The 27,572-nt window shown below is 55.4% G+C and overlaps 1 protein-coding gene across 18 annotated transcripts in view, besides 2 other annotated features; it reads right to left on the bottom strand.

Moving 5' to 3' along the window:
- GOLGA3 (golgin A3) overlaps positions 1-27,572 on the bottom strand; it is a 60,168-nt gene that overhangs the window by 7,207 nt on the left and 25,389 nt on the right. For 16 of the 18 annotated variants that reach the window (NM_001389684.1, XM_047428706.1, NM_001389689.1 and 13 more), the window contains 14 exons: positions 25,647-25,849; positions 22,220-22,357; positions 20,419-20,580; positions 19,732-20,100; positions 15,096-15,173; positions 12,907-13,170; positions 10,573-10,667; positions 10,219-10,435; positions 8,044-8,187; positions 6,176-6,373; positions 4,678-4,794; positions 1,546-1,685; positions 838-970; positions 514-636 (listed from right to left, as the gene is read on the bottom strand). In NM_001389684.1, the coding sequence (NP_001376613.1) occupies positions 514-636; positions 838-970; positions 1,546-1,685; positions 4,678-4,794; positions 6,176-6,373; positions 8,044-8,187; positions 10,219-10,435; positions 10,573-10,667; positions 12,907-13,170; positions 15,096-15,173; positions 19,732-20,100; positions 20,419-20,580; positions 22,220-22,357; positions 25,647-25,849 (2,381 nt within the window). Of the gene's footprint in view, positions 1-513; positions 637-837; positions 971-1,545; positions 1,686-4,677; positions 4,795-6,175; positions 6,374-7,747; positions 8,188-10,218; positions 10,436-10,572; positions 10,668-12,906; positions 13,171-15,095; positions 15,174-19,731; positions 20,101-20,418; positions 20,595-22,219; positions 22,358-25,646; positions 25,850-27,572 lie in introns of those variants that run through there. The other 2 variants (XM_011534794.3, NM_001172557.2) reach the window with 2 other exon arrangements.
- Positions 12,585-13,086: an enhancer, noted in NCBI's record as "H3K4me1 hESC enhancer chr12:133365291-133365792 (GRCh37/hg19 assembly coordinates)". NCBI's record gives its function as "activates a minimal SCP1, AML or CMV promoter by ChIP-STARR-seq in primed H9 embryonic stem cells {active_cell/tissue: H9 hESC(primed)}" and the evidence as "EXISTENCE:reporter gene assay evidence [ECO:0000049][PMID:30033119]".
- Positions 18,750-18,919: an enhancer, noted in NCBI's record as "experimental_26074 CRE fragment used in MPRA reporter constructs". NCBI's record gives its function as "activates a minimal promoter by MPRAs in K562 erythroleukemia cells, with activity observed for both the introgressed and non-introgressed 12:133371541 variant alleles {active_cell/tissue: K562}" and the evidence as "EXISTENCE:reporter gene assay evidence [ECO:0000049][PMID:34662402]".

Consider the following 27,572-nt stretch of genomic DNA (forward strand, 5'->3'; position numbering starts at 1 on the left):
TGGTGCTCCCGCCTGTGTCCAGCACCTCATACACAGGTACCTGCAGCAGCTGCTGTAGCCCCTCCAGCTCCTTCCTCCCTGCTGCTCCCGCCTGTGTCCAGCACCTCATACACAGGTACCTGCAGCAGCTGCTGTAGCCCCTCCAGCTCCTTCCTGCCCTGCTGCTCCCGCCTGTGCCCAGCGCCTCAGATACAGGTACCTGCAGCAGCTGCTGTAGCCCCTCCAGCTCCTTCCTCCCTGCTGCTCCCGCCTGTACCCAGAGCCTCACACAGGTACCCGCAGCAGCTGCTGTAGCCCCTCCAGCTCCTTCCTCCCTGCTGCTCCCGCCTGTACCCAGCGCCTCACACACAGGTACCCGCAGCAGCTGCTGTAGCCCCTCCAGTTCCTTCCTCCCTGCTGCTCCCGCCTGTGCCCAGCGCCTCACACACAGGTACCCGCAGCAGCTGCTGTAGCCCCTCCAGCTCCTTCCTCCCTGCTGCTCCCGCCTGTGCCCAGCGCCTCACACACAGGTACCTGCAGCAGCTGCTGTAGCCCTTCCAGTTCCTTCCTGCCCTGCTGCTCCGTCAAGTCCAGCTGCTGCTTCAAGGACTGGATTTCTCTTTCTTTCTGATCCACCTCCCATTTGAGATTTTCCATCTAAAGAGGGGAAAGTCACATGGCCAAAAGAATATTAAAGTGGCTTTACTGCCCTGGAAAATGGCTCTAGCTGTGTTTTGGTTTATCTTTTAATACCATATTCAGAAAACCATCACTGTTGCTCCCCAAGCAGGATGGAGTGAAGTCACCCAGGGCACCCGTGAGTCCAGCCCTGCAAGTCCAGCCCCCGTGAACCGTCACCTCTTGGTTTCCCACGGGCTGTTTGCTGAGCTGCTCGTCCAGCTGCTTCTGCAGGAGCTGGAGCTGTGCCCGGGCCTCGGCCAGCTCTGCTTGGAACTGTGCTATCTCCTGGGAATGTTTCCCCTCCCGAATCCTAGCGTAAAAAAACAAGAAAGAAGGGAATCGCCACGCTCCTCCAGTGTGCTGTGCCCTCCCGCTGGGAAATGCTGCCTGTGGAAGGCGTTCGTCCTGGCAGGCCCTCTGCTGTGCACTGCGTGCTGCAGCCATGCTTGGTGCCCACAGTGTGCACTCGGGCAGTCCTCACGAAGCACCTGAGACTCACACTTCACTGGCACCCCTCACAGATCCCAGAGACTCACTTTGCCGGCACCCCTCACAGATCCCAGAGAGTGCCGGCCCCGAGACCACAGTGCATGGGACCCACAGAGCCACAGCATCAGCCCCGCGCCGGGCCGCCCCTTCCCGCCTCTGACCTGAAGCTAAGTACTCCTGCTGGGGCGCTTTCTCTCTTGGGGGGAGGACACGGGGCAGTGAGTGAGGCTCAGGATTCTGGAGACGGAGGCTGGGTGCCTTCTACTCCTATGATTCACTCAAGTACTCGGCAATTTGCAAAATATAGATGACCCTCGCTGTGCTGAAGGTGTGAATTAGACCCCGCCCATTGCCAGGACAGCCATGTTTGAGGGCTGGCGGGGCCCAGGCACTCACTGAAGGTCGTCGGCCTCGGCCTGCAGCTTCTGCACCAGGTGTTCCTTGGCCTGCAGCTCCTTCTTCACCTCACTCAGCTCCAAGGAGGCCGCCTTGAAGTGGCGGCGGTTATGCCCGGCTTCCACCTTGGCAGCAGCCACCTAGGAGGAAGGAAGCCACGTTGTCCATGCCCTGCGTGACACCCACAGCTTTATGACGTGCCGGGCGCAGGGGGTGAATGCACTCCCGGCCCCGTGCATGTCCTGGCTGCCGGCGTGTGCTTCTCCACAGGCCTGTCAAGTTCCTTGTAAAGATGAAACCACCTGACCCGGAGCTCGGCACGCAGCAAGTGCACACTTATGTGGCTGCTGCTATCTGTTGAATGAACACATTTATTCGAGATTTCTCGGTCTAAATAGTTTTTATAGTCTTCTTCCAGTGTATTCACAGCCTGGACAACATAGCAAGACCCTGTCTCCACAAAAAATAAAAAAATTAGCAGGGCATGGTGGTCCCAGGTACTCAGGAGGCTGAGGTGGAAGGATCACTTGAGCTCAGGAGTTCCAGGCTGCAGGGGAGCTGTGATCGCGCCACTGCACTCCAGCTGGGGTGACAGAGTGAGACCCGGTCCCAAAAATGAAATAAATAGGCCAGGCGTGGCGGCTCACGCCTGTAATCCCAGCACTGTGGGAGGCCGAGGCGGGTGGATCACGAGGTCAGATCGAGACTATCCTGGCTAACACGGGGAAACCCCGTCTCTACTAAAAATACAAAAAATTAGCCAGGCGTGGTGGCGGGCACCTGTAGTCCCAGCTACTCAGGAGGCTGAGGCAGGAGAATGGCGTGAACCCGGGAGGTGGAGCTTGCAGTGAGCCGAGATCGCGCCACTGCACTCCGGCCTGGGCGACAGAGCGAGACTCCATCTCAAAATCTCAAAAAAATAAACAAATAAATAAATAAAAATAATAAAATAAAATAAATACATTTAAAAAATAAAAATAAAATTAATTGGAAGGCCAAGGCGGGCAGGTCATCAGGTCAGGAGATTGAGACCATCCTGGCTAATATGGTGAAACCCCATCTCTACTAAAATACAAAAAATTAGCCAGGCATGGTGGTGCACGCCTGTAGTTCCAGCTACTGGGGAGGCTGAGGCAGGAGAATCACTTGAACCCGGGAGGCAGAGGTTACAGTGAACCAAGATTAAGCCACTGCACTCCAGCCTGGTGACAAAGTGAGACTCCGTCTGAAAAAAAAAAAACCGAAAAAAATTCAGTGAACCCTAAGCACGGAGCGAAAGCTGGAGAGCTGGGGCACCGTGTGAGCCAGCCTGAACCACGGCCCAGCAGCAGGCCCCAGGCCAGGGTTAAACGGCCGGGCGGATGAGGCCTGTGGGGCCAAGAGAAAGCTGTTAACTGCTCCTGTTAAAATATTCCAGCCACATTTTTTTTTTGAGACGGAGTTTCCCACTTGTTGCCCAGGCTGGAGTGCAATGGTGTGATCTTGGCTCACCACAACCTCCGCCTCCTGGTTCAAGCGATTCTCCTGCCTCAGCCTCCCGAGTAGCTGGGACTACAGGCATGTGCCACCACGCCAGGCTAATTTTGTATTCATAGTAGAGACAGGGTTTCTCCATGTTGGTCAGCCTGGTCTTGAACTCCCGACCTCAGGTGATCTGCCTGCCTCAGCCTCCCAAAGTGCTGGGATTACAGGCATGAGCCACCGCGCCCAGCCACCTGCCACATCTTAAAATTAATTCTATTTATAAAGAAACTTTGTTGTTTCACCCCTTAAAAAAAATCAAGAACCTTTTTCTTTTCATCTCAATTACATTATCATAGAAAAGTTCTTAAAGGTTGTGGCAAAGCCAGGTCATAGGAACGAAAGCAGCTTCACTGTTAGGCCGAAAAGTTTGAATTGTGAAGCAATTACTTTTTTACAAGTTCAATTCAAACGGGATTTAAAGGAAAAGTGATGTGTTCTTTCCTGCCTTTCTCTAGAGACAACCAGTTATTTCTTGTGTTCCTCCTAGAAATTTTCTACATATACATCAGCATCAAATGCATGCACACACACCACAGCCCAGGCACACACGTGCGCACACACACCACAGCCCTTGCATGGACACCCCCCCCGTGCACATACACACACCCCAGGCACACACGTGTGTGCACACACACCACAGCCCTTGCACGGACACCCCCCCGCGCACATACACACACCTCAGGCACACACGTGTGTACAGACATCACAACTCTTGCACGCACAGCCCCCCGCATGCACACAACCCAGGCACACACGCGTATACAGACATCACAACCCTTCCACGCACAGCCCGCGTGCACACACACCCCAGGCACACACGTGCGCACACACACCACAGCCCTTGCACGGACACCCCCCCGCGCACATACACACACACACCCCAGGCACACGTGTGTGCAGACATCACACTTGCACGCACAGCCCCCCGCGTGCACACACCCCAGGCACACGTGTGTACAGACATCACAACACTTGCATGCACAGCCCCCCGCGTGCACACACACCACACCCCAGGCACACGTGCACGCACACCCCCCATGTGCACACACACGGCAAGCGTACTAGGAGTAGCTGCTCTGTGCCAGGTATGGCGGAGGTAGCCAGCAAGCAGCAGCGTTCTAACAGAGGAGCAGGGCCCAGACAGGGCACCTGGGGGTCAGGATGGGCCTCTGCTGGCGACGTGACCAACGTGTCAGTGAACACCTGAAGCAGGGCAGGGGCCAGCCACGAAAAGACAGCTCTCTACACAGAGAAGGGTCCACAGAACCACCCCTCTTATCTGCCGAACACAAATGGGATCATATGCTATTCTCAAGTTTGCTTTTGCAATGCAACACGACATACAGGACACCACTCCCAGCACAATATAAATACACATGCACGCGGAGCTCATTGGCCCCAGGCCCTCACAGCTGCACTGCCATTTAATCTAACGCCACCTTCTACGGACCAGAGCAGGTGCTCTGCGGCCTCCGTCACCAACAACTGCAACACACCTTTGCTCTGTGTAACTGCTGGAAGGAGGCTGGTGTGTGAAGGACCCTGCATAGATTTCTAGGCACTGGAGCGTCCTCTGGAACGCCCTGTGAGACGGAAGGTGGCACGCACCTGCTCCTTGAGGCTGTTCACCTTCTCCTTCTCCTTCTCTAGTGAGGCCTGCAGGGCCTGGACAAGATGCTTCATCTGGCGATCCTCCTCTTCTTTGCGCTGCAAAACTGCCTGCACCTAGATCAGATTGCAGGAGGACAGATAAGGAAGGACGTCGAATTACAAACACACAAGGCTGCTACAGCAGGCAACGTGACACACGCCACATCACAGGCACACGCCAGGGAGGTAGAGGGAACTTCACTGCTGAAGAATCTGTGACAAAAACAGAATCCTAGGTTGCGGGAGCATGATCACAGGGCCGCACTCAAGAACGTGGCACGCCTGTGGGCCCCACGGCTCCAGAGGCCAGGGCAGGAGGATCGCTGGAGCCCAGGAGGTTGAGGATGCAGTGAGCTATGATGGTACCACCGCAGTGCCCTCCACCGCACTGCCCTCCACTCCGGGCAAGAGCCAGACCCTGTCTCAAAAAAAAAAGAATGGGCCGGGCGCGGTGGCTCACACCTGTAATCCCAGCACTTTGGGAGGCCGAGGCAGGCGGATGACAGTCAGAAAATCGAGACCATCCTGGCTAACACAGTGAAACCTTGTCTCTACTAAAAATATGAAAAATTAGCTGGGCGCGGTGGTGCACGCCTGTAGTCCCAGCTATACCAGAGGCTGAGGCAGGAGAATCGCTTGAACCCGGGAGGCAGGGAGCCGCGATCGTGCCACTGCACTCCAGCCTGAGAGACAGAGTGAGACTCCGTATTACTAACAACAACAACAACAAAAAAATGGAACATGGTGGCTGGGAACTCAAAAACTACATACAAATCAGGGGCTGCAGCCGGGTACAAAAAGAACAGAAGTGGTGGGAACTAGGGCAAAATATGGAACTAAGATGGGATAGTCAACACCAGCAGCTCGATTTGGCCCCCAGGATTTCCCTGAAATGCCCAGCCTAGTCCTCAATTCAGAGAGGCTGTGGAGACTAAGTAGCTGAGTGAGAACCAGGTCAGGGTTCAAGTCCCAGTTCTGAATTGTGTGAACCTCTTGTTAAGTGCCCCCTACAAACAATGTCACCGTCTGGGACTGGAACTCAGCCACACCCACATGGAAGGTCTACCCCTCAACTAAGCAGGTCTGCCCCCCAACTAAGCAGGTCTGCCCCCCGACTAAGCAGGTCTGCCCCTCAACTAAACAGGTGAACTGAGCACACGCAGGGGCTCCAGCCTCACCTCAGAGAGCCCAGCCCTGCACCAACAGCTGGGGACTCAGGGCTGTGGGTCACCCAGACCCCTGAGCCTGTTCCTCCCCTCGGAGAGCCCAGCCCTGCACCAACAGCTGGGGACCCAGGGCCGTGGGTCACCCGGACTCCTGAGCCTGTTCTCTCGGCTGCAGGCCGGGTGGGCTAGGAGTCAGCACAGGTGACTGAATCTGGATGAGATTCTCGGAGTGCGCACAGCCCCACCAACTCTCACACCGTTGCTGGCGTGAGTTTGACGAGTTTGAATACCTGAAGGTTCAACTGGACTAGGTCTGCCTCCCTCTTGGCCAAAGCTGTTTCTAGGATGCTGTTGTGTTCCCGCAGAGCTGCGTTGGACTGACCGAGGCCCGTAAGCTTCCCTTTCTCGTGCTCTAATTCAAGAGCCAACTTCTTGTTTGACTCCTCAAGGCGTTTTATCTTCTTCCTAAAGCCTCTGGATTCTTGAAGCTGAAACATACCAATGTCACTGTAAAATTACCTGCACTGGTGAGTGGAGTTCACATACCCCAGAAACAGGTGAGTTTTCAACAAGAAACAGCGAAAACTTAGGCCAGGCGCAGAGGCTCACGCCTGTAATCACAGCACATTGGGAGGCCGAGGCAGGGGGATCACCTGAGGTCAGGAGTTTGAGACCAGCCTGGCCAACATGGTGAAACCCCGTCCCTACTGAAAATACAAAAATTAGCCACTATCGTGGCACATGCCTTTAGTCCCAGCTACTCAGGAGGCTGAGGCAGAAGGATCGCTTGAACCCAGGAGGTGGAGGTTGCAGTGAGCTGAGATTGTGCCCCTGCACTCCAGCCTGGGCAACACAGCGAGACTCTGTCTCAAAAAAAAAAAAAAAAAGAAAAAGAAAAGAAAAGAAACATCGAAAACTAAAACACAGCAATGGGCTGGACGCAGTGACTCACACCTGTAATCCCAGCACTTTGGGAGGTCAGGGGTTTGAGACCAGCCTAGCCAACATGATGAAACCCTGTCTCTACCAAAACTACAGAAATTATCCAGGTGTGGTGGCGATCACCTGTAGTTCCAGCTACTCAGGAGAATGAGGCGGGAAAATCACTTGAACCTGGGAAGTGGAGGCTGTGGTGAGCCAAGATTGTGCACTCCAGCCTGAATGACAGAGTGAGACTCTGTCTCAAGACAACAAAAACAAAGAACAATGGACACCACACAACCCTGCGATGGACACCACAGGACCGTGCTTGCTTCATGATCTGAAGGCTGTCGTGGTCATGGTCAGTTGCTTCCCCAGGCCCCTCTCATTCCTCCCCATGGCCAAGAGCCCAGCCTTCTCCTGGGGCCATGGGCTTCTGGAGAAGTCTGTCCAGGCACTGAGCCCTGGCTAGGCCACTCAGCAGGGTGGGCATGAGCAAAACCACTTCAGGGCAGGACACAGCCAGAGAGTGGAACAGGCGGCCCTACTGTGACGGAGCTCCACAGGGAGGGGCTGGGGAGTGGGGGGCGCCGGGACACTGAGCTGCCACCAGCAGCGCTGAAGCGAGAACTGTCTCTGAACCTGAGATATCTGACGTTTTTCTTTTTTTGAGACGGAGTCTCACTCTGTCGCCCAGCCTGGAGTGCAGTGGCGCGATCTTGGCTCACTGCAACCTCCGCTCCTGGGTTCAAGCGGTTTACCTGCCTCAGCCACCCAAGTAACTGGGACTACAGGCACCCGCCACCACACCCGGCTAATTTTTGTATTTTTAGTAGAGATGGGGTTTCACCATGTCGGCCAGGCTGGTCTCGAGCTCCTAACCTCATGATCCGCCCACCTCAGCCTCCCAAAGTGCTGGGATTACAGGCATGAGCCACTCGCCTGGCGAAGTTGGGTTTCTTATTTGCAACCAAAGCATTTGAACTGAGAAGGGTTCCACTATGAATTCTGTAACCATTCCACCAAAGAGGCTGTACAGTGATCCTCCCCAGAGGGCTGGAATCAGGGCCTGCCCCACCACAGAGCCAGAGGCCGACGGTCAGAAGGTGGCAACACCAAAAGTAGCAACGCTGGGCACACGGTGAAGTTTTGTTCTTCGGGTCTCACGCGTGGCGGCATGTCCAGGGCTCACGTGACCTGCCCCACGCTGCCGCCACAGCAGATGGCCAGGCCTCACCTCGTCCTCCAGCTCCAGCACCTTCTCCCGGGACTCCTCCAGCTCCTGGCTGGTCAGCGCTATGACCTCCTGCAGTTCCTTTTCCAGCAGCGTCTTGCTATGACTGACAGCCTGCAGCTCCGCCTCCAGGGCCTGGATCCTTTCCTAAGGGCCAAGATGGAACGGGCGCTTGGTCATGGGACAGGCCCTGACCCCCCTCACTTCCTGTGGTGCCGGCAGGCATGAGGCTGTGTGGCTGCACACACCAGACACCAGCTGTCTGACACAGTCTCACAACCTTCCTTTTTGTTAAAGAAGTTGAATTAACCGACCACAGCATGCACACGATGACACACGGGGATAGTTGGGACAAACAAAATCATCTCTTCAGTTCAATGCTTCAAAAATACAGAAGAAAATCTGACCTGCAGATAATGGCTATAAATCACCATCTGTGGCAAGCAAGCAGCACCAGTTGTAATAAATACCACACACATGCTCACGCACCACACATCACATACACACACTCATGTAACACACACCACGTGCACATGTTCACATCCCACACACCACACACACACGTGCTCACACCCCACACGCACATGCTCACACCCCACGTGTTCACACCCCACACCACACATGCACATGTGCTCACACCTCACACTGCATGCACACATACACCCCACACTGCATGCACACATATGCTCACATCCCACACACCATGCACACAAACACTCCACACGCTGCACACACACATGCTCACACCTCACACATGCACGGATACATGCAGGCACAGGTGTGCTCTCACACCCCGCCCACTTGCTGCCTCGATGGTACCAGGCCCTTGCCAAGCATGTTCCAGTACCACCTAACTTAACCCTTACATGAGAAGGTTCTCATTCACCTCAATTTGGCCTCATTTTGCTGAGGATCAAAAAGGTGAGAAATTTGCCAAAAGTCACCACTTGCGAGGGGTGAAGCCCGGACGGACACAAGACATCGGCTCGCAGCTGTGCTATTCCTCAGCTGCAACAGCGTGGCGAGGGGCCAGCTCTGCCCGGCCTTTGCGACCTCCCCACCCCAGCCCTTAGTGAGCCCAAAGAAAATGGCAACTGAATCAATCTCCCCAACATTTTACAAAGCAACCAGGTGAGAGGAAGCACTTGATTTATTTATTGAATTTCAGACACAGAGTCTCTATCGCCCGGGCTGGAGTGCAGCAGCAAAATCATGACTCACTGCAGTTTCAGCCTCACCTCCCAGGCTGAGGCGATCCTCCCACCTCAGTGTCTCAAGCATCTGTGTCCACAGGCACGTGCTACCATGCCTGGGTTTTATTTTTGTATTATTTGTAAATACAGGGTCTAATTATGTTGCCCAGGCTGGTCTCAAACTCCTGTGCTCAAGCGATCCTCCTGCCTCAGCCTCCCAAAGCGCTGGGATTATAGGTGTGAGCCACCGTGCCCGGCCGAGTTTATTTGACAAGAAAACCCCACGTTATGATACAGTCTCTTCCTACCCATAAATTCTTAAGTGGACAGGAGATAGAAACAAACCACATATAAGAAGAAATACTAAGTTGTCAGTGCAAGGACGTGAATTGGAGAATAATAAATAAAATGCGGATGAACTCACTCAGGTAGAATGTTATGCCTACCACGAAAGGTGACAGAGCACGGAGGGCCACGGCCTCCACGGAAGGCTCTGCTCAGAGCCCTCCAGAAAGGGCACCCGCTTGTTCTGGGCCACCGCAGCATGGCTACCTCTAAACGCTCCCTGAACCCTGTCAATCGCTGACCCCATGCCCTCACTCCTGCTTCTCAGTGAGTGCGGAGGCTGCTTTTCCTCCTGAGATGCGAGGAGGCGCAGAGGCAGCTGGAACGCGAGCGGACCAGGGCAGGCCCTCCCTCTGCCCCAAGGGAGCAGCTGAACTTCTCTGAGCCAAGGAGATTTCTTGAGGAAAATCAGGTGAACGCCACAGGCCACAGGCCATGTGGGGTTCATGAGGGAGACGCGAGGCAATGCTCAGTCACTGTGGGTTCCTGGTAACCTGGAAGATGAGCGGGAGTTTAGAGAGTTGCCACCTCCCACGCGAGCTCGGCCCCGCTAGGCTTTAGGGGACAACTGCTGATGGAGAGCCCTTCCCTGCACTGAGGGGCTGGTGACCCTGGCCGGGGATGGCACGGTGTTACCTACATGTAGAGCCAGGCTGCTGTCACTGCTGCCACCCTGGGCTCGGAGCTGGCCCAGCTCCGCGTCCGCAGCCTCCTTGGCCGCGAGGGCCTCCTGCAGGCGGCGGCTGAGGATGCCCACGGCGTTCTCGTAGGCCTTATGTTTGGTCTTCATCTCCTTCTGGGCGCTGGTCAAGTCTGAGCCCAGCCGCCTCATCTTCTGCTTCTGTTCCGTGATGGCCCTGGGGTGTCATGAGGGAGACACAGGAGGAAGCTGAATTATCCCGATGTGACCGTCTGGCATTCTGGTTCGCCTCCCCCCCGGCCCCCGCACCTCCCACCTGGCCCCCGCACCTCCCCCGGGCACATGCAGACTTACTTCCGGGCCTCTTGCTGCAACTCTTCGATTTGTTTCTTCAGCGCCTCATTGGCCTCTGTGACCGCGACCATCTGCTCCTTATCGAACTGCAACGACTGTGGAAGGGAAGGAGGGCGTGAGGAGCGGCACTGCCACCCCCAGCCTGTCTCCCCTTCCTGGCTCCAGCCCATCACCCCCACCAAAGGCACTGCTCAGGCTCGCCCTGGAGGACTTGGGCCTTGAGAAAAATCCTGAGAGAGACGTCTGCCTTCTTACAAACCACTCTTTTTTTTTTTTATTGAGATGGAGTCTCACTCTGTCACCCAGGCTGGAGTGCAGGGGCGTGATCTCAGCTCACTGCAACCTCCGCCTCCCAGGTTCAAGTGATTCTCCTGCCTCAGCCTCCCGAGTGGCTGGGACTACAGGTGCCCGCCACCATGCCCAGCTAATTTTTGTATTTTTAGTAGAGACAGGGTTTCACCATATTGGTCAGGCTAGTCTTGAACTCCTGACCTCGTGATCCACCTGCCTCGGCCTCCCAAAGTGCTGGGATTACAGGTGTGAGCCACTGCACCCGGCCACAAACCACTCATTACTGAGACCAACAAGCGTTTCCAAACACTGTCCAGAGCATCAGAGGCACAACAGGACATGACTGGTTCATAGGAAAGCCTGTGGACCCAGGACCTCTCCTCCAAACCCTCAGGACCCAGGACCCCTCCCCAGGGCCCCAGGAACCCTCCCCAAGGCCTAGGACCCCTCCTCAAGGATCCAGACCCCTCCTAGGAAACCCCAGGACCCCTCCCCAAGAGCCCCCGGGAACCCTCCCCACAAGCCCCTGGATCCCCTCCCCACAGTCCCCAGACCCCTCCCCCAGAGCCCCCAGGACCCTTCCTGAGACCCCGGGACCCCTCCCCAGAACCCCTGGGACCCTTCCCCGGAGACCCCGGGACCCCTCCCCGGAGACCACGGGACCCCTCCCCGGAGACCCCGGGACCCCTCCCCGGAGACCCCGGGACCCCTCCCCGGAGACCCCGGGACCCCTCCCCGGAGACCCCGGGACCCCTCCCCGGAGACCCCGGGACCCCTCCCCGGAGACCACGGGACCCCTCCCCGGAGACCACGGGACCCCTCCCCGGAGACCCCGGGACCCCTCCCCGGAGACCCCGGGACCCCTCCCCGGAGACCCCGGGACCCCTTCCCGAGACCCCAGGACCCTTCCTGAGACCCCAGGACCCTTCCCTGGACCCCCCCCGGATGCCCTCCTCAGGATCAACTGTGAACACTGAGGGCCGCGTCCCCGACCTGCTCCTGCCCTCGCAGCCTTTCCCCAGCTCCTGTGTGCGAGGCGAGTCCCCACAACCAGCCCAGGCCTGCAGCTGTGGGGTCCGAACGTGCTCTGCCCGCACTGCTGAGTCCTCCAAGCCTCCTACAGTCCAAAGAGCCGGCCCTCCCCTTGGCCCACCTCCCCACCCCGGCACCAGCGCTAATCCATCAGCCCTCACTTTCCAACAATGATGGTGCCGGCCACACCGCCTACTCACAGGCCTCAGCCTGGCTCCTAATGAGCCAGACATGCTGACCAATCTGCCTGCTGGGACCTTGGCTCGGTCCTCTCCGGCAACTTCAGAAACTTCATAAGCAAAACGTAGCACTTGGTCTAACGTGCCATCAGACGACTCTCCCCAAATTTACTGTTGCTCTCCTGATTTCTCGTCTCACCTCCCGGTTCCTCAGCCTGGATGTCTGGACAGGATCCTGGACTGCGGCCTCCGTCCCCCGCCTCTACCCCTCACCTGCTCTGCTACCTGCAGCCGAGAAACTGTCACCAGCATCTCGGACACCCACTGTGTGCAGAAGCCAGCCCAGGCTCAGCTTCCACAGGAACATGACTAGCTCTGGTCAGTCCCAGCTCCGCACTCAGCCACGAGGGACTCCCAGGGTCCCCGGGCCCCGACGCCCTGCCCTGACGTGGGGTCTCCACAAAACACTCACCCTTGCTTTCTGCATGACAGCCGCTGTCCTCTCACATGCTAGATCCCGGGAGCCCATGGCAATGGGGAGAAGCTGGGTGCCTCACGGGGCCTCCTCACTCCCTCCCTTCATGCACCATCACCACCTGGACTTATCAGGCCTCACCGGACTGCCCCTCTGGGACCTATGCTCCAGGTGGGCCTTGTTCCCAGCTGTTCTTCCAAAAGCCTCTCCCACCTTGGCCCCACCCCAGACACAGGCCCCGACCCAGACAGACCCCGCCCCAGACACAGGCCCCGCCCCAGACACAGGCCCCACCCTCCCGACAAGCACTTTGGCCGAATCCTCCCCATCAAATGAGTCAACCCGACACGGACAGACCTGCAAGTGTGTTTCCATCTCGTCTCGCTCCTTCTGCGCCGACTGGAGATGCCCTTCAAGGTCCGCCATGTGCTGACGGACCTGGGCCACCTCTCTGTGCAGGCGCGAGAGCTCCGCCTCGGCAGTCCGCTTCTCCCCGTGCACTTGCATCAGCTCCTGCCGCAGCTCCTTCAGCTCCGAGTCCAGCCTCTTCCTGGTGGCTTTCAGCTCACTGATGAGCTGGTCTTTGGAGGTGGCGTCGCGCCGGTAGGCCTCCACCATCACCTGCCAAAGACAGAGGCTGTGAGCGGACGCTGGGCGGCGGGGCGTGGGGGGCGTACCTGGGGGTCAAGCTGGCTTCAACAAAAATGTTTACCACTTATCGGGGGCATAACTTTTTTGAGGTAAAGATACATTTCATCAAATCTAAGACTCCATCGACTGAGACACACCACTGTTTATCCACAGGTGACATCACTGCCTGTTGAGAGACTGCGTGGTGCACAAGGCAGTCACACCGGCCTCATAGACGTCTCCTCTATTCCAAGGAGTCTGGCTCTCTCCTGACTTCAGTTGCACGGCTTTGCTTCCAACAGGTAATCCCCTTGCTTGTGGCTCAGTAATAAAGCAAAGCAGGACTCACGACACCGCTTCAGGGGCCGCCCTTGCTCAGAAATAAAATACAGCAGGCCGGGCGCGGTGGCTCACACTTGTAATCCCAGCACTCTCAGAAATAAAATACAGCAGGCCGGGCGCGGTGGCTCACACTTGTAATCCCAGCACTCTGGGAGCCCGAGCTGGCTGATCACCTGAGGTCAGGAGTTCAACCAGCCTGGCCAACAAGGTGAAAACCCCATCTCTACTAAAAATACAAAAAACTAGCCAGGCGTGGTGGTGCATGCTTGTAGTCCCAGCTACTCACGAGGCTGAGGCATGAGAATCATTTGAACCTGGCAGTTGGAGGTTGCAGTGAGCGGAGACAGCACTACTGCACTCCAGCCCGGGCGACACAGCCAGACTCTGTCTCAAAAAAACTAAATTACAGGCCGGGCGTGGTGGCTCATGCCTGTAATCCCAGCACTTTGGGAGGCCAAGGTGGGCGGATCACGAGGTCAGGAGATTGAGACCATCCTGGCTAACACGGTGAAACCCCGTCTCTACTAAAAATGCAAAAAAAAATTAGTCGGGCGTGGTGGCCGGTGCCTGTAGTCCCAGCTACTCAGGAGGCTGAGGCAAGAGAATGGCGTGAACCTGGGAGGCGGAGCTTGCAGTGAGCCGAGATCGCACCACTGCCCTCCAGCCTGGGGTACAGAGCGAGACTTCATCTCAAAAATAAAATAAAATAAAATACAGCAGCGCTCACAACGCTGCTTCAGGGGTCACCCTCGCTCAGAAATAAAACACAGCAGCACTCACAATATAGCTTCGGGGTCACCCTTGCTCAGATCCCATAAAATCCAACAGGAGGTACTGGCTTCACTGACACAAAATTTATATTCCGTGTCTTTTTGGATAACCAAAATTTGTTTCAATGCTGGAACTCTATGTGCATTTTTCAAAGACATTTTAAATGGCAAACCCAACCTGTGTGTTAACAACACTGCACAACACACAGCTCCCTGGAGTGAGCACAACAGGGTATGCTGACAGGCGCTCCAGTGACAGCCGCCCCTGGAGATCTGAGGGGCCAAGACCCCCACCCCACTGTGGAAGTGTGTCTTGACTTTGCAGATTAAGTACCTTTAAAAAAAGTTAAAGAGGGCCGGGCGCGGTGACTCATACCTGTAATCCCAGCACTTTGGGAGGCCGAGGAGGGTGGATCACCTGAGGTCAGGAGATTGAGACCATCCTGGCTAACACGGAGAAACCCCATCTCAAAATACAAAAAACAAAAAATTAGCCGGACGTGGTGGAGGGCGCCTGTAGTCGCAGCTACTCGGGAGGCTGAGGCAGGAGAATAGCTTGAACCCGGGAGGCAGAGCTTGCAGTGAGCCAAGATCGCGTCACTGCACTCCAGCCTGGCTGACAGAGAGAGACTCCGTCTCAAAAAAAAAAAAAAAAAAAAAAAAAAAAAAAAAAAAATTTAAAGAGAACTCAAGATGTTACCTTCTTCTCAACTTCAATGACATTGGAATTGCTAAGCAATTAAACCACAGAAAACTCTGTTCATATGCTTGTTTCAAGTGAAGAAATCAACAACAGATTTTTACCTTTTGTTGGAGAAACTGTTCCTTTATTTTTTGCATTTGCTTTTTCAGAGCAGCAGTCTCCTGCTGCAGGTGTTCCACCTGTGGGAGACATGTGCACAGACATTACACTGACGGCTCCAGGAGGGGAATCTGTCTGCACAGATGTTACACTGAAGCCTCCAGGAGGGGAACACATCTGCACAAATGTTACAGAGAGCTCCAGGAGGGGACACATCCTCACAGATGTTACACTGAGGGCTCCAGGAAAGGACACATCTGCAGAGATGTTTCACTGAGGGCTCCAGAAGGGGCCACATCTGCAGCGATGTTACACTGAGGGCTCCAGAAGGGGCCACATCTGCAGCGATGTTACACTGAGGGCTCCAGGAAAGGACACATCTGCAGAGTTGTTACACTGAGGACTATAGGAGGGGAATGTGTCTGCACAGATGTTACACTGAGGGCTCCAAGAGGGGGATGCATGTGCATGAATATTACACTGAGGGCTACAGCAGGGGGACACATCTACACAGATGTTACACTGAGGGCTCCAGGAGGGGCCACATCTGCAGAGATGTTACACTGAGGGCTCCAGAAGGGGCCACATCTGCAGCGATGTTACACTGAGAGCTCCAGGAAAGGACACATCTGCAGAGTTGTTACACTGAGGGCTCCAGAAGGGGACACATCTGCAGAGATGTTACACTGAGGGCTCCAGGAAAGGACACATCTGCAGAGTTGTTACACTGAGGACTATAGGAGGGGAATGTGTCTGCACAGATGTTACACTGAGGGCTCCAAGAGGGGGATGCATGTGCATGAATATTACACTGAGGGCTACAGCAGGGGGACACATCTACACAGATGTTACACTGAGGGCTCCAGGAGGGGGATGCAACTACACAGACATTACACTGATGGCTCCAGGAGGGCACACATCTGCACAGATGTTATAGGAAGAAGCACTTGTGTTCTGACGGGAACTGGTGGTTCCTAAGGCCTGGGCTCTCCCTCCTCACCACTGACAGCATGAAGGCACAGTGAGTGGCAGGGAGGTGGGAGAGGGGATGAGGCCAGGGGACACTGCAGCCCAGGGCTCGGCAAGCCTTTCTTGGAGATGCCTGATGGGAAAAGACTGCAGCTCACAGGCTGCACGTCAGTCACAGCTGCTCAGCAATGCTCTTGCAGCACAGGCGAGCGAGCAGGGCTGTTACAGTGACAGTTTACAGAACCCGGTGTTGGGCTGCGCCCACAGGCTGAGGGTGCTGACCCCAGGCTCTGGTCCTTGTCCTGCAAAGTCTGTTGGAGCCCAGCCCATTCAGCCCAGGAGCTTGTGAGAAATGCAGAGCCTCGGGCCCCACACAGACCCACCGCACAGGACCTGCACTCAGAGGGCTCCACACAGACCCACCCCACGGGACCTGCACTCCGAGGGCTCCACACAGACCGACCGCACGGGACCTGCACTCGGAGGGCTCCACACAGACCCACCACACGGGATCTGCACTCGGAGGGCTCCACACGGACCGACCGCACGGGACCTGCACTCGGAGGGCTCCACACGGACTGACCGCACGGGACCTGCACTCGGAGGGCTCCACACGGACCCACCCCACGGGATCTCCACTCGGAGGGCTCCACACGGACCGACCACACGGGACCTGCACTCGGAGGGCTCCACACAGACCCACCACACGGGATCTGCACTCGGAGGGCCCCACACAGACCCACCCCACGGGACCTGCACTCGGAGGGCTCCACACAGACCCACCACACGGGATCTGAACTCGGAGGGCTCCACACAGACAGACCGCACGGGACCCGCACTCGGAGGGCTCCACACAGACCCACCGCACGGGACCCGCACTCGGAGGGCTCCACACAGACCCACCCCACGGGACCCGCACTCGGAGGGCTCCACACAGACCCACCGCACGGGACCCGCACTCGGAGGGCTCCACACAGACCCACCGCACGGGACCCGCACTCGGAGGGCTCCACACAGACCCACCGCACGGGACCCGCACTCGGAGGGCTCCACACTGACCCACCGCACGGGACCCGCACTCGGAGGGCTCCACACAGACCCACCGCACGGGACCCGCACTCGGAGGGCTCCACACAGACCCACCGCACGGGACCCGCACTCGGAGGGCTCCACACAGACCCACCGCACGGGACCCGCACTCGGAGGGCTCCACACAGACCCACCGCACGGGACCCGCACTCGGAGGGCTCCACACAGACCCACCGCACGGGACCCGCACTCGGAGGGCTCCACACAGACCCACCGCACGGGACCCGCACTCGGAGGGCTCCACACAGACCCACCGCACGGGACCCGCACTCGGAGGGCTCCACACAGACCCACCGCACGGGACCCGCACTCGGAGGGCTCCACACAGACCCACCGCACGGGACCCGCACTCGGAGGGCTCCACACAGACCCACCGCACGGGACCCGCACTCGGAGGGCTCCACACAGACCCACCGCACGGGACCCGCACTCGGAGGGCTCCACACAGACCCACCACACGGGATCTGCACTCGGAGGGCTCCATACAGACCCACGGCACAGGACCTGCACTTGGAGGGTCCCGGAGGACTCAGGAATCCATGTGTTTGTGAAACACTTCTCTACCTCAGCAAACAGCTCTCAGTGCACACACACATGGGGCGGCCGACTCCAGAAATAGGGAAGAGCTTGTTTAGGGCCTAGGTTTTCTGTCTGAATACAGAACACACTGCATGCAAATCCTAGTTATCACTAGAGCATGACTGAAGAATGAGCCTTTTTCCCTACAATATGGAGGGCGGTCCCTCAGGAGCCCCCCTGCGAAGGATCAAAGTGCTGGTTGTTCCACACGCATCATTCATCCGTTCCGATGATCCTCACGTCACCTGCCCCTGGTCCCACAGCGGCTCCCACAGTGGGCAACAGACTTGGAACTCAGCAAACAGGGAGCCATGGTCAGAGAAACCTCAGCCCCCACGTGGATACTGCTGTGTCTAGATGCCTAGGGAATGCAGTGGCTCACGCCTGTAATCCCAGCACTTCGGGAGGCTGAGGCGGGCAGTTCACTCGAGCCTAAGAGTTTGAGACCAGCCTGGGCAACATGGCAAAACCCCGTATCTATTTAAAAAAAAAAAAAAAAAAAAAGATGGCCGGGGATGTGTGCACATTCCGACAAGGCCAGGCAGAGTGGCCAACACCAGGCAGGCCCAGGAGGCCAGTCCGTCTCCCAGTCGGCTGACTATGGTCCCCAGGTGGAAAACAGACTTCAGAGCTGGGAAGGCAGCTTCCAAGACAAGGTCACTGCTACCACCACCTTCATCTGCCCTGGGGAAAACAGCCCAACCCAGAGGTTAACTTGGATTAAATAACTGCCAGTAATGACAACACAGGTAAAATTCCAATATGAGAAATAACATATAGCTCCACAAAAGTCTCTCTCGCAGTCTTCCAGGTATCAGCTGTTTCTTACTGAGCTAATGGTCAGTAAAATCAAGTTTAAATTCATCCACAGAATTGGGACAATTCCTCTAAATTTACTCCCCCAACACTGTAAACAGTAATGACCTGTCTGAGTGCCTCTTTACTAGAAAATCACTTAGTACAGGTCAGTGTTTGTAGTGACAGCTTCCTTCAGAAAGGAGGGAAAACAGGCTCATGATTTCCTCTTGCCCTTGATCCTTATAGAGTGGGATTTAAAGACAGAATAGGTGGCTCACACCTGTAATCCCAACACTTCGGGAGGCCGAGGTGAGCAGATCATGAGGTCAAGAGATGCAGACCATCCTGGCCAACATGGTGAAACCCCATCTCTACTAAAAATACAAAAATTAGCTGGGTGTGGTGGCATGCACCTGTAGTCCTAGCTACTTGGGAGACTGAGGCAGGAGAATCACTTGAACCCCGGAGGCAGAGGTTGCAGTGAGCCGAGATCACCGCACTACACTCCAGCCTGGCGACAGAGTGAGACTCCATCTCAAAAAAAAAAAAAAAGAAAAAAGGGGTCGGGCGCGGTGGCTCACGCCTGTAATCCGAGCACTGTGGGAGGCGGAGGCAGGCAGATCACTTGGGTTTAGGAGTTCGAGACTAGCCTGGCCAACATGGCAAAACTCCATCTCTACTACAAATACAAAAGTTAGCTGGGCACAATGGCTCAGGCCTATAATCCCAGCACTGTGGGAGACTGAGGTGGGCGGATCACTTGAGGTTAGGAGTTCGAGACTAGCCTGGCCAACATGGCAAAACCCCATCTCTACTACAAATACAAAAATTAGCCAGGCATGGTGGTTCAGCCTGTAATCCCAGCACTGTGGGAGACCGAGGCGGGTGGATCACTTGAGGTTAGGAGTTTGAGACTAGCCTGGCCAACATGGCGAAACCCCATCTCTACTACAAATACAAAAATTAGCTGGGCATGGTGGCGCACACCTGTAATCCCAGCTACTCAGGAGGCTGAGGCACAAGAATTGCCTGAACCTGGGAGGTGGAGGTTGCAGTGAGCGCAGATCATCCCACTGCACTCCAGCCTGGGCAACACAGCGAGACTGTTTCAAAAAAAAAAGAAAGAAAGAAAGAAGCAAATAATCAGCATCATTCCTGCAAGGAGGGTTCTGATTCAAAACAAAACACAGCAGAATGCATTACCTGGCCGGATTTGATAGCTAATTCTTCTCTTAACTTCTCTAAAGTTTCCGACGTTTCCTCGGTACCTTCTTCCAAGCGTCTTGCTCCTCTGTCAAGCTCCTCCTTGCCACTCTTGGCCGCCTGCAAAGCCGCCTCCAAGATGATCTTCTCGTTCTGCAGGAGGCAGATCGTGTCCTCCCTGGAGGCGGCCTCGCCCTGCAGCTCCCCCAGCCTGGCCTGCAGCTCATCGTAGTGTGTCTGCAGGGCATCGAGGGACTGCTCCCTGCTCTGCAGAGCCTCCTGAGTCAAGGTGAGCTGTTTCATCAGGTCCAGGTGCTCCTGCTGCAAAGCCTCAAGCTGCTGGTCTCGCTGGAGTAAAGTCAACTTCACCTGGAGAAGGAATGAAGCCCACATGGCTGCGCCTGACCCTCCTCCGAGAGCGTATGCCCTTTTCCTGTTCGGGTTTCAAGTAATTTTGATGGACACTATGGAGGGTCTTTTTTTCACGCACAATCCTGGTATAGAAGAACCAGCAGGGCAAACACAGGGTCAGGTCTGCAGCAGCAGCAGCGTCTGACCGACAGCCCAACTCCCACCTGAGCGGACGTGGCCCCACAGCAGAGGACTGCTCGGTCTCCTTGTGTGCAGTCCTGGCTGCTCGGGATCACCTGGGGCCTGGGTCCAGCCTGAAGGGCTGCAGGGACTTACCTGCTCCAGCTGCTGCTCCAGGGATGCCGCCGAGTCCGCCATCCTCTGCAGCCGCTCCCTCTCACCTTCAAACTCTTCCAGCCTCCTCTGAAGGTCCTCCTCCACCATCGTCTTTGCCTCCTGAATCTGCATGAAGGCTGCTTCCTGATCCAACATGTCAGCCTGAGCCCAGGAAACTTGTTTTTAAAAAGGCAGGAAACCTTAATAGTGAACAGCAGCCGGTGGCCCCGTGCTCTGCAGAGAAACCCACCGCCCTGGCATGGGCCCCATCCACCTCCTCATCCTGTCTACCGACTGCAGACTGAGGGCCCAGGATGGGCAGCTTGGCCGCCCCCCAACCAGGAGACCGAGGCCAGGCCCAGCCCAGGCCAGCAACCCCGTGAGAAGGACTTGGACCCACTGGTGAGCAGAGCCTCCCCGACTTTCTCGTGTGGCGACAGCTGCCTCCTTTCGGGAGTGAGACCCGGACATGCTCTCACAAGAGCGGTGCTTGGTGCTACCGGGTAAGAGACCAGAGGCCCCCGCAGTGAACACAGCCTCACATCGGGGTACACTTCTTAGGGAAAACACAAATTCCTAACTTGAAACTTGAAATTCTTTTCAGTTCTTCTCTACTAAGCCCTTGAAGCACTATGGCTGACGCAACGTGATTCTTCTCATCCCAGCCGGGCAGCCCAGCTAATGCCACAGAGAGGTGGGAGCAGTCGCAGGAGATGAGAAACCACGTGAGGCTGCAGAGAGCTCCCTGTACAACTGGCAAGATCGGCAACGAGACCAGCCCAGCAACATCCAGCACAGAACCTCCCTCCATACACTGCCTTGGGGTTTTACACCATTTCTTCTTCTTTAATTTTTCCACAAGGCTATCGAGTAGGTGACACTATCCCCATTTTATAAAGATGAGGCTCACGCCTGTAATCCCAGCACTTTGGGAGGCCGAGGCAGGCGGATCACCTGAGGTCAAGAGTTTGAGACTGGCCTGGCCAACATGGCGAGACCCCGTCTCTACTAAAAATACAAAAAATTAGCAGGGTATGGTGACGAGTGCCTGTAATCCCAGCTACTCGGGAGGCTGAGGCAGGAGAATTGCTTGAACTTGGTAGGCAGAGGTTGCAGTGAGCCAAGATCGCACCACTGCACTCCACCCTGGGCGACAAGAGCAAAATTCCACCTCAAAAAAAAAAAAGATGCGGCTCAGAGAGGTAAGAAATTGTCCAGCGCCCCACAGCTAAAGGAGAACAGCTATCAAGGCTGCTGCATTTCTGTCCTCTGGAGATGGCTGTGCAGGCAGCGGCCATGACCTCGACAGCGTGTGGTTGCTGGAGGGTTAAATGGCAATGCAGTCTGAGTGCTCAGTAAGCAAAGAAAATCCTCTCATCCCTAGGCTTCGACAGGCTGTCAGGCAAAAACGCACTGGCCCCTTCCTCCGTACCCACTCTGTACCCAGCGCCATCCCTGACTGGCAATGACTGACAGCCGGGGGCCCAGGCCCAAGGCGGGGCTTGCAGGAAAAGAGCCGCAAGTGCTCACTGCACTAAGCCCCCACAGGTGAGGATGAGGGGTGGGGGGGGTCCCAAAGCCTTAACGAGCAGTCACTGCAGGCCATCCATGCTAAGCCCCCACAGGTGAGGGATGAGGGGTGGGGGGGGGGTCCCAAAGCCTTAACGAGCAGTCACTGCCCGCCATCCATGAGAATATTTAAGAGATACACACAGAGAGACGGAACATGTAAGAAAACACACATGGTATCGATGTCTGCGTCTGTTCTCCTAAGCTTCCACGGCCCCGGCCGCAGCCTCACCTCAATGCCCTGCAGCTGTGCCGCGATGCGCCCCTTCTCCTTCATGGACCTGTGCTGAGTTTCCGTCAGCTGCTGGGACAGGGACACATTCTCGAGTTTCAGGTGCTCCAGGAGACCTGCCTGGGTCATCTGTCCAACCTTAAAAAAAAAACCCACAAAGTAAAAAGTTGCTCAATTTCAAGCAAGAAATGCAGACCAGCCTGTCCCTGGAGGCCCCAGGGTGAGGGTCACTGGCTGCCCCCTCAGTGTCTCCCACGCAAGCCCCACTACCCACTACACGTCTTCCCATCTCAAAATATGCGCTGTCTGGGCTCTGCGTGCCTGAGTGGGAGGGCGGGCGGGCCATCAGCCAGCGCTCATCATGCTGTTTGTAGCTCATCAGACTGCGGTTTGTAGCAGGACCTACCCAAAAGTCCCCATTGACAAGGCATCTCTGAGCCCCTGTGGGTGAGGAGGGGCATCTCTGAGCCCCTGTAGGTGAGGAGGCTTATCTTAACTGAACAAATCCAGCCAGACACACACCAGGGCCTGCCCTCAGCCAGACGCCCGACAGGTGCCATTCCAGGGATACAGCCTTTTCAGCCAGCTAGGGCCCGGCCCAGACCTCCAGGTGCTCAGGCCCACGCTGGCCAAGCGTCTCGTGAAAAAGCCCAGGACCATGGCCCTGAGGAGGACGGCGTCAGCCAAGGGAAGTAGCACTGAAAAGGAGGTGTGAGGACAGCCTGGGGCCTGAGGCTAGACCTGCCCGCATCGCCTCTAGCTCCATGCTGCTTCCTGGAGTGCACAGTGCGAGACGTGACAGAAGCCACACGCTCCAGGACCTCAGGAGAAGGTGCACGGAGCCAGGGAAGACAGCCTTTGCTGGGACTGTGTTTCGAGACCATGAAAGCAGACTGACTGCCTGGAATTCTCCTCCCTCCTGAACGTTACTGGGAATGAAGGGATACATTTGGGTACCAAAAAAATGTATTAAAAACTCTGATTAAGGAATGCTGAACCTGGGTTCCAAAGGTATTTGGAAAAAGCAGTGAGGGCCCGGCAGTGGCTCATCCTGTAATCCCAGCACGCTGGGAGGATCGCTTGAGTCCAGGAGTTCAAAACCTGCTTAGGCAACATAGCGAGACCCTGTCCTTACAGAAAACTTTTAAACAATTAGCCAGGTGTGATGGTGTTCACCTATGTCCCAGCTACTTGGGGGGCTGAGGCAGGAGGACTGTTTGAGCCCAACAGGTCAAGGCTGCAGGGAGCTATGATGGTAACACTGAATTCCAGCAGCCTGGGTGACAGGGCAAGACCCTGTCTCCGAAAAAACAGCAGATAGGGCTCTGGAGCCACCATTGCTTTAAAGCTTCCTCTCTTTTTGTTGTCCAGGCTACACCACCATACTTCCTTGTTGTTGGTTTTTTTTTTTTGAGACAAAGTCTGGCTCTGTTGCCCAGGCTGAAGTGTGGAGTGCAGCAGCGCAATCTTGGCTCACTACAACCTCTGCCTCCTGGATTCAAGCACATCTCATGCCTCAGCCTCCCAAGTAGCTGGGACTACAGGCACTCACCACCACACCTGGCTAACTTTTGCATTTTTAGTAGAGATGCAGTTTCGCTATGTTGGCCAGGCTGGTCTTGAACTCCTGGCCTCAAGTGATCGGCCCGCCTCGGCCTCCCAAAGTGCTGGGATTACAGGCATGCGCTACTGCACCTGGCCCAAACTATACTTCTAAAATACACCTGGCTTGGCCTACGTCTTTAAATACCTCATATAAATGCACTGCAGCTGTAAAAAAGTGTATTAATTTGTATACTGATTTGTTTCCAAGCTATGTTGTAAGTAGAACAAATGCTTTTCCGTATTGTTCTTTGGCTTAAAAAATATGTAACAGTCGAGTGTGGTGGCTCACACCTGTAATCCCAGCACTCTGGAAGGCTGAGGAAGGCGGATCACAAGGTCAAGAGTTCAAGACGAGCTTGGCCAATATGGTGAAACCCCATCTCTCCTAAAAATACAAAAATTAGCCGGGCATGGTGGCGGGCGCCTGTAATCCCAGCTACTCGGGACGCTGAGGCAGGAGAATCACTTGAACCCAGGAGACAGAGGTTGCAGTGAGCTGAGATCACAACACTGTACTCCAGCCTGGGAGACAGAGCAAGACTCCATCTCAAAACAAACAAAAAAGTAACGAAAATTGAAGAAAAGTTCTATTGTGTATATTTGTAACTCTAGATGTAAAAGGAACATTTGGTGGAATTAGTATTTCACGTTCCCCTCTTGAGAAATAAAGTTTTAATAAATTTATAATATTTTATCTGGGAAAAAAAAATTCCACAGCTAATTAAAAAATAACAGGCCAGGTGCGGTGGCTCACGCCTGTAATCCCAACACTTTGGGAGGCTGAGGCAGGCATCACTTGAGCCCAGGAGTTGGAGGCCAGCCTGGGCAACATGGCAAAACCTTGTCTCTACAAAAAGTACAAAACTTAGCCGGGCATGGTGGCAAATGTCTGTGATCCCAGCTAGTTAAGAGGCTGAGGTAGGAGAATAGCTTGAGTCTGAGAGGTTGAGGCTGCAGTGAGCTGAGATCGCACCACTGCTCTCCAGCCTGGGTGACGGAGTGAGACACAGTCTCAAAAAAAAACCAAAAACAAAAAGACTGAGGCTGACCAAAGGTACTCTTCAGCATCTCTGAGGTCATCCTAATTAGTCTAGGTGCTGAGACTCGGATCGAGGTTCACTCGAACCATTCGCCTGTCGGTCTGGGCGTCTCCAGCACACGAAGCAGTTGCTGTGGGCCGAGGCACAGGCCTGGACGGACACACACTCCCACATATGCGGGACCAAGCTGGACATGGGCTGTGCCCGCTAACGAGTGGACGGGAGAGGAAAGAGTTTTCCAACAGGACGTAGAAAATGCAAGGCCTGCTGGGAAGACGTGGTCCCCGTGTATCACTGAGGGCTCAGGCAGCAGGGAAAGGAAAAGCTCCAACCGGGAAGAGAACCCCACTGGCACCGCACGCCTGTGAGACATCACAGCAGAGTGGGGAGGCTGAGGTGGGAGGGTCCTGAGACCCAGGCAGATGAGGATTCACAGGCACGCAACACTGTGCCGAGTCAGGAGGCCAGGGTGGGAGGGTCCCGAGACCCAGGCAAATGAGGATTCACCGGCATGTGTCACCATGCCCAGCAAGAGAGGCTTTGGAACTGAAAATGCTGGCAGAGGCTGCCGTGGGACTCCCATGTCAGAAGGTTGGGGGGGGGCCCACGGGACACGTCCTGCATACGACACGTCCTACATGGGACACGGGGTGGGCTGGACAGCAGGTTAAAAACAAAAACATGCCTGTGAACTCTAAAAACAGAAAAATCTCAGGAAAAAGCACCGTTCTACATGAAGACAAGAAGCGTGACCTGCCCTGGAAGGTAGATGTGGGCCGTACCTGGATGTGGGCCATCTCACCCTGCAGCCTGACGCGGGCCTCCTGTGCCAGGGCGAGCTGCTGCTGGTACCACTGCCGGACACTCTGCAGGGACGAGATCTCCGCCTGCGACGCCTTCAGCTTGCTGGTCAGCGTCGTCCGCTCCAGCTGCACCTGCTGAAGCTGGCTCTGCAAGGCTGTCATCTGCTGTCGCAGGTCGTGCACTGAAATGGGGCAAGCACAGCGGCTCAGGCCAGCGACGGCCAACGGGGGAGTCCGCAGCTCCGCGCGTGCGGGACACAAGGCGGGACTCTCAGGGGAGACCAAGAATGAGTCAGTTCCGGTTATTCCCCATAGCTGACTCCATGAAGTCGCCGTGAACACGGCATTAGTGGGCGCTGAGAGATGCCGCTCCTGGCAGAAATGCAGGGTGAGGTTCCTGCAGGCCTCTGCTCACAGCACCTTCACCAGCTCATCAATACATAACCTCTGTTCAGTGTTTCCATTTACGACACCGATCTAATACATAGCGTCGATTCATTCACACCGAGCTCACGGCCAACAGCAACTTGACCAACAAGCCTGAGCAAAGATTCTCTAGGAAATAACAGTGGCCGGACACGGGGGTGCAGGGGGCATGGGGGGTGCAGGGGGCACAGGGGTGCACGCCCAGGAGATCCAGACCAGCCTGGGCAACACAGCGAGATCCCCCACCACCAAAAAAAAAAAATTAGCCAGGCGGGGTGGCATGCATCTGTGGTCCCAGCCACTTGGGAGGCTGAGGCGGGCGGATCCCATGAGCCCAGGAGTTTGAGGCTGCAGTGAGCCACAACTGCACTGCTGCACTCCAGCGTGGGCAACAGAGCAACCCATCTCAAAGACAAATGAATTTTTAAAAACAAAAAGAAAATTTAAAAAAATAGAAACAGGATGAATTGAAAAAAATAAACCAAAAGAAAAAAATGAAGTACATCTTCTCCATGAAACACCTCACATCCTCTCTGTGTTTAAAAACACTAGACAGTGTTGGCCGGGCACAGTGGCTCACGCCTGTAATCCCAGCACTTTGGGAGGCTGAGGCGGGCGGATCACCTGAGGTTGGGAGTTCGAGACCAGCCTGGCCAACATGGAGAAACCCTGTCTCTAATAAAAATACAAAATTAGCCGGGCGCGGTGGCAGACGCCTGTAATACCAGCTACTAGGGAGGCTGAGGCAGGAGAATCGCTTGAACCTGGGAGGCAGAGGTTGCGGTGAGCCAAGATGGCGCCATTGCACTCCAGCCTGGGCAACAAGAGTGAAACTCCGTCTCAAAAACAAAACAAAACAACAACAACAACAAAACAACAAAAAAAAACACTAGACAGTGTTTGGGGCCATCTTTAACTGCAAAATTACCCCCCAAAGCACAAACATGTAAACATGGCCCTGGAAAGAACTCCTGCCTGCAGCCCGGCTGAGCACCAAGGCAGGCAGAGTATCCTGCCCTCCTCAGCGGGCGCCTAGGATGACTCACGTACTCTGCTGCTCCACACGTGTCCATGAATACTGAGTTTGTGGTTCAAACAAATTTAATCAAGTCGGCAAATTCACACTTAGGAAATCTGTGAAAATGGTCATGGACGCCGAGGCTCTGTCTTCGACCCAACGATGTCTACCAGCCATCAACAAACAGCAAGGGTATCCGTGTGGCTAATTCCAACTTAAACCCACCGGTTAGGACTGGGCGGCCTCATCAAAGTTCAGGTTGGTTTTGCCACCCCCCGATCACTGGTCAAGTGAAGCGTGGCAACCCACAGGGCCCCAAACTACTTTAGTGTTGAGAACTTTTTGGGTTTCATGGTTTTTCCTAAGGGATTGGGTATCACGAAATGCTCAAGGACTAAAATATTAAAGCGATTACAAGAGTACTACTGTCTCTCGGCCGGCTTTCTCTTTCCTAGTATTAG

The sequence above is a fragment of the Homo sapiens genome, chromosome 12 (assembly GCF_000001405.40).
Source record: "Homo sapiens chromosome 12, GRCh38.p14 Primary Assembly".
NCBI lineage: Eukaryota > Metazoa > Chordata > Mammalia > Primates > Hominidae > Homo > Homo sapiens.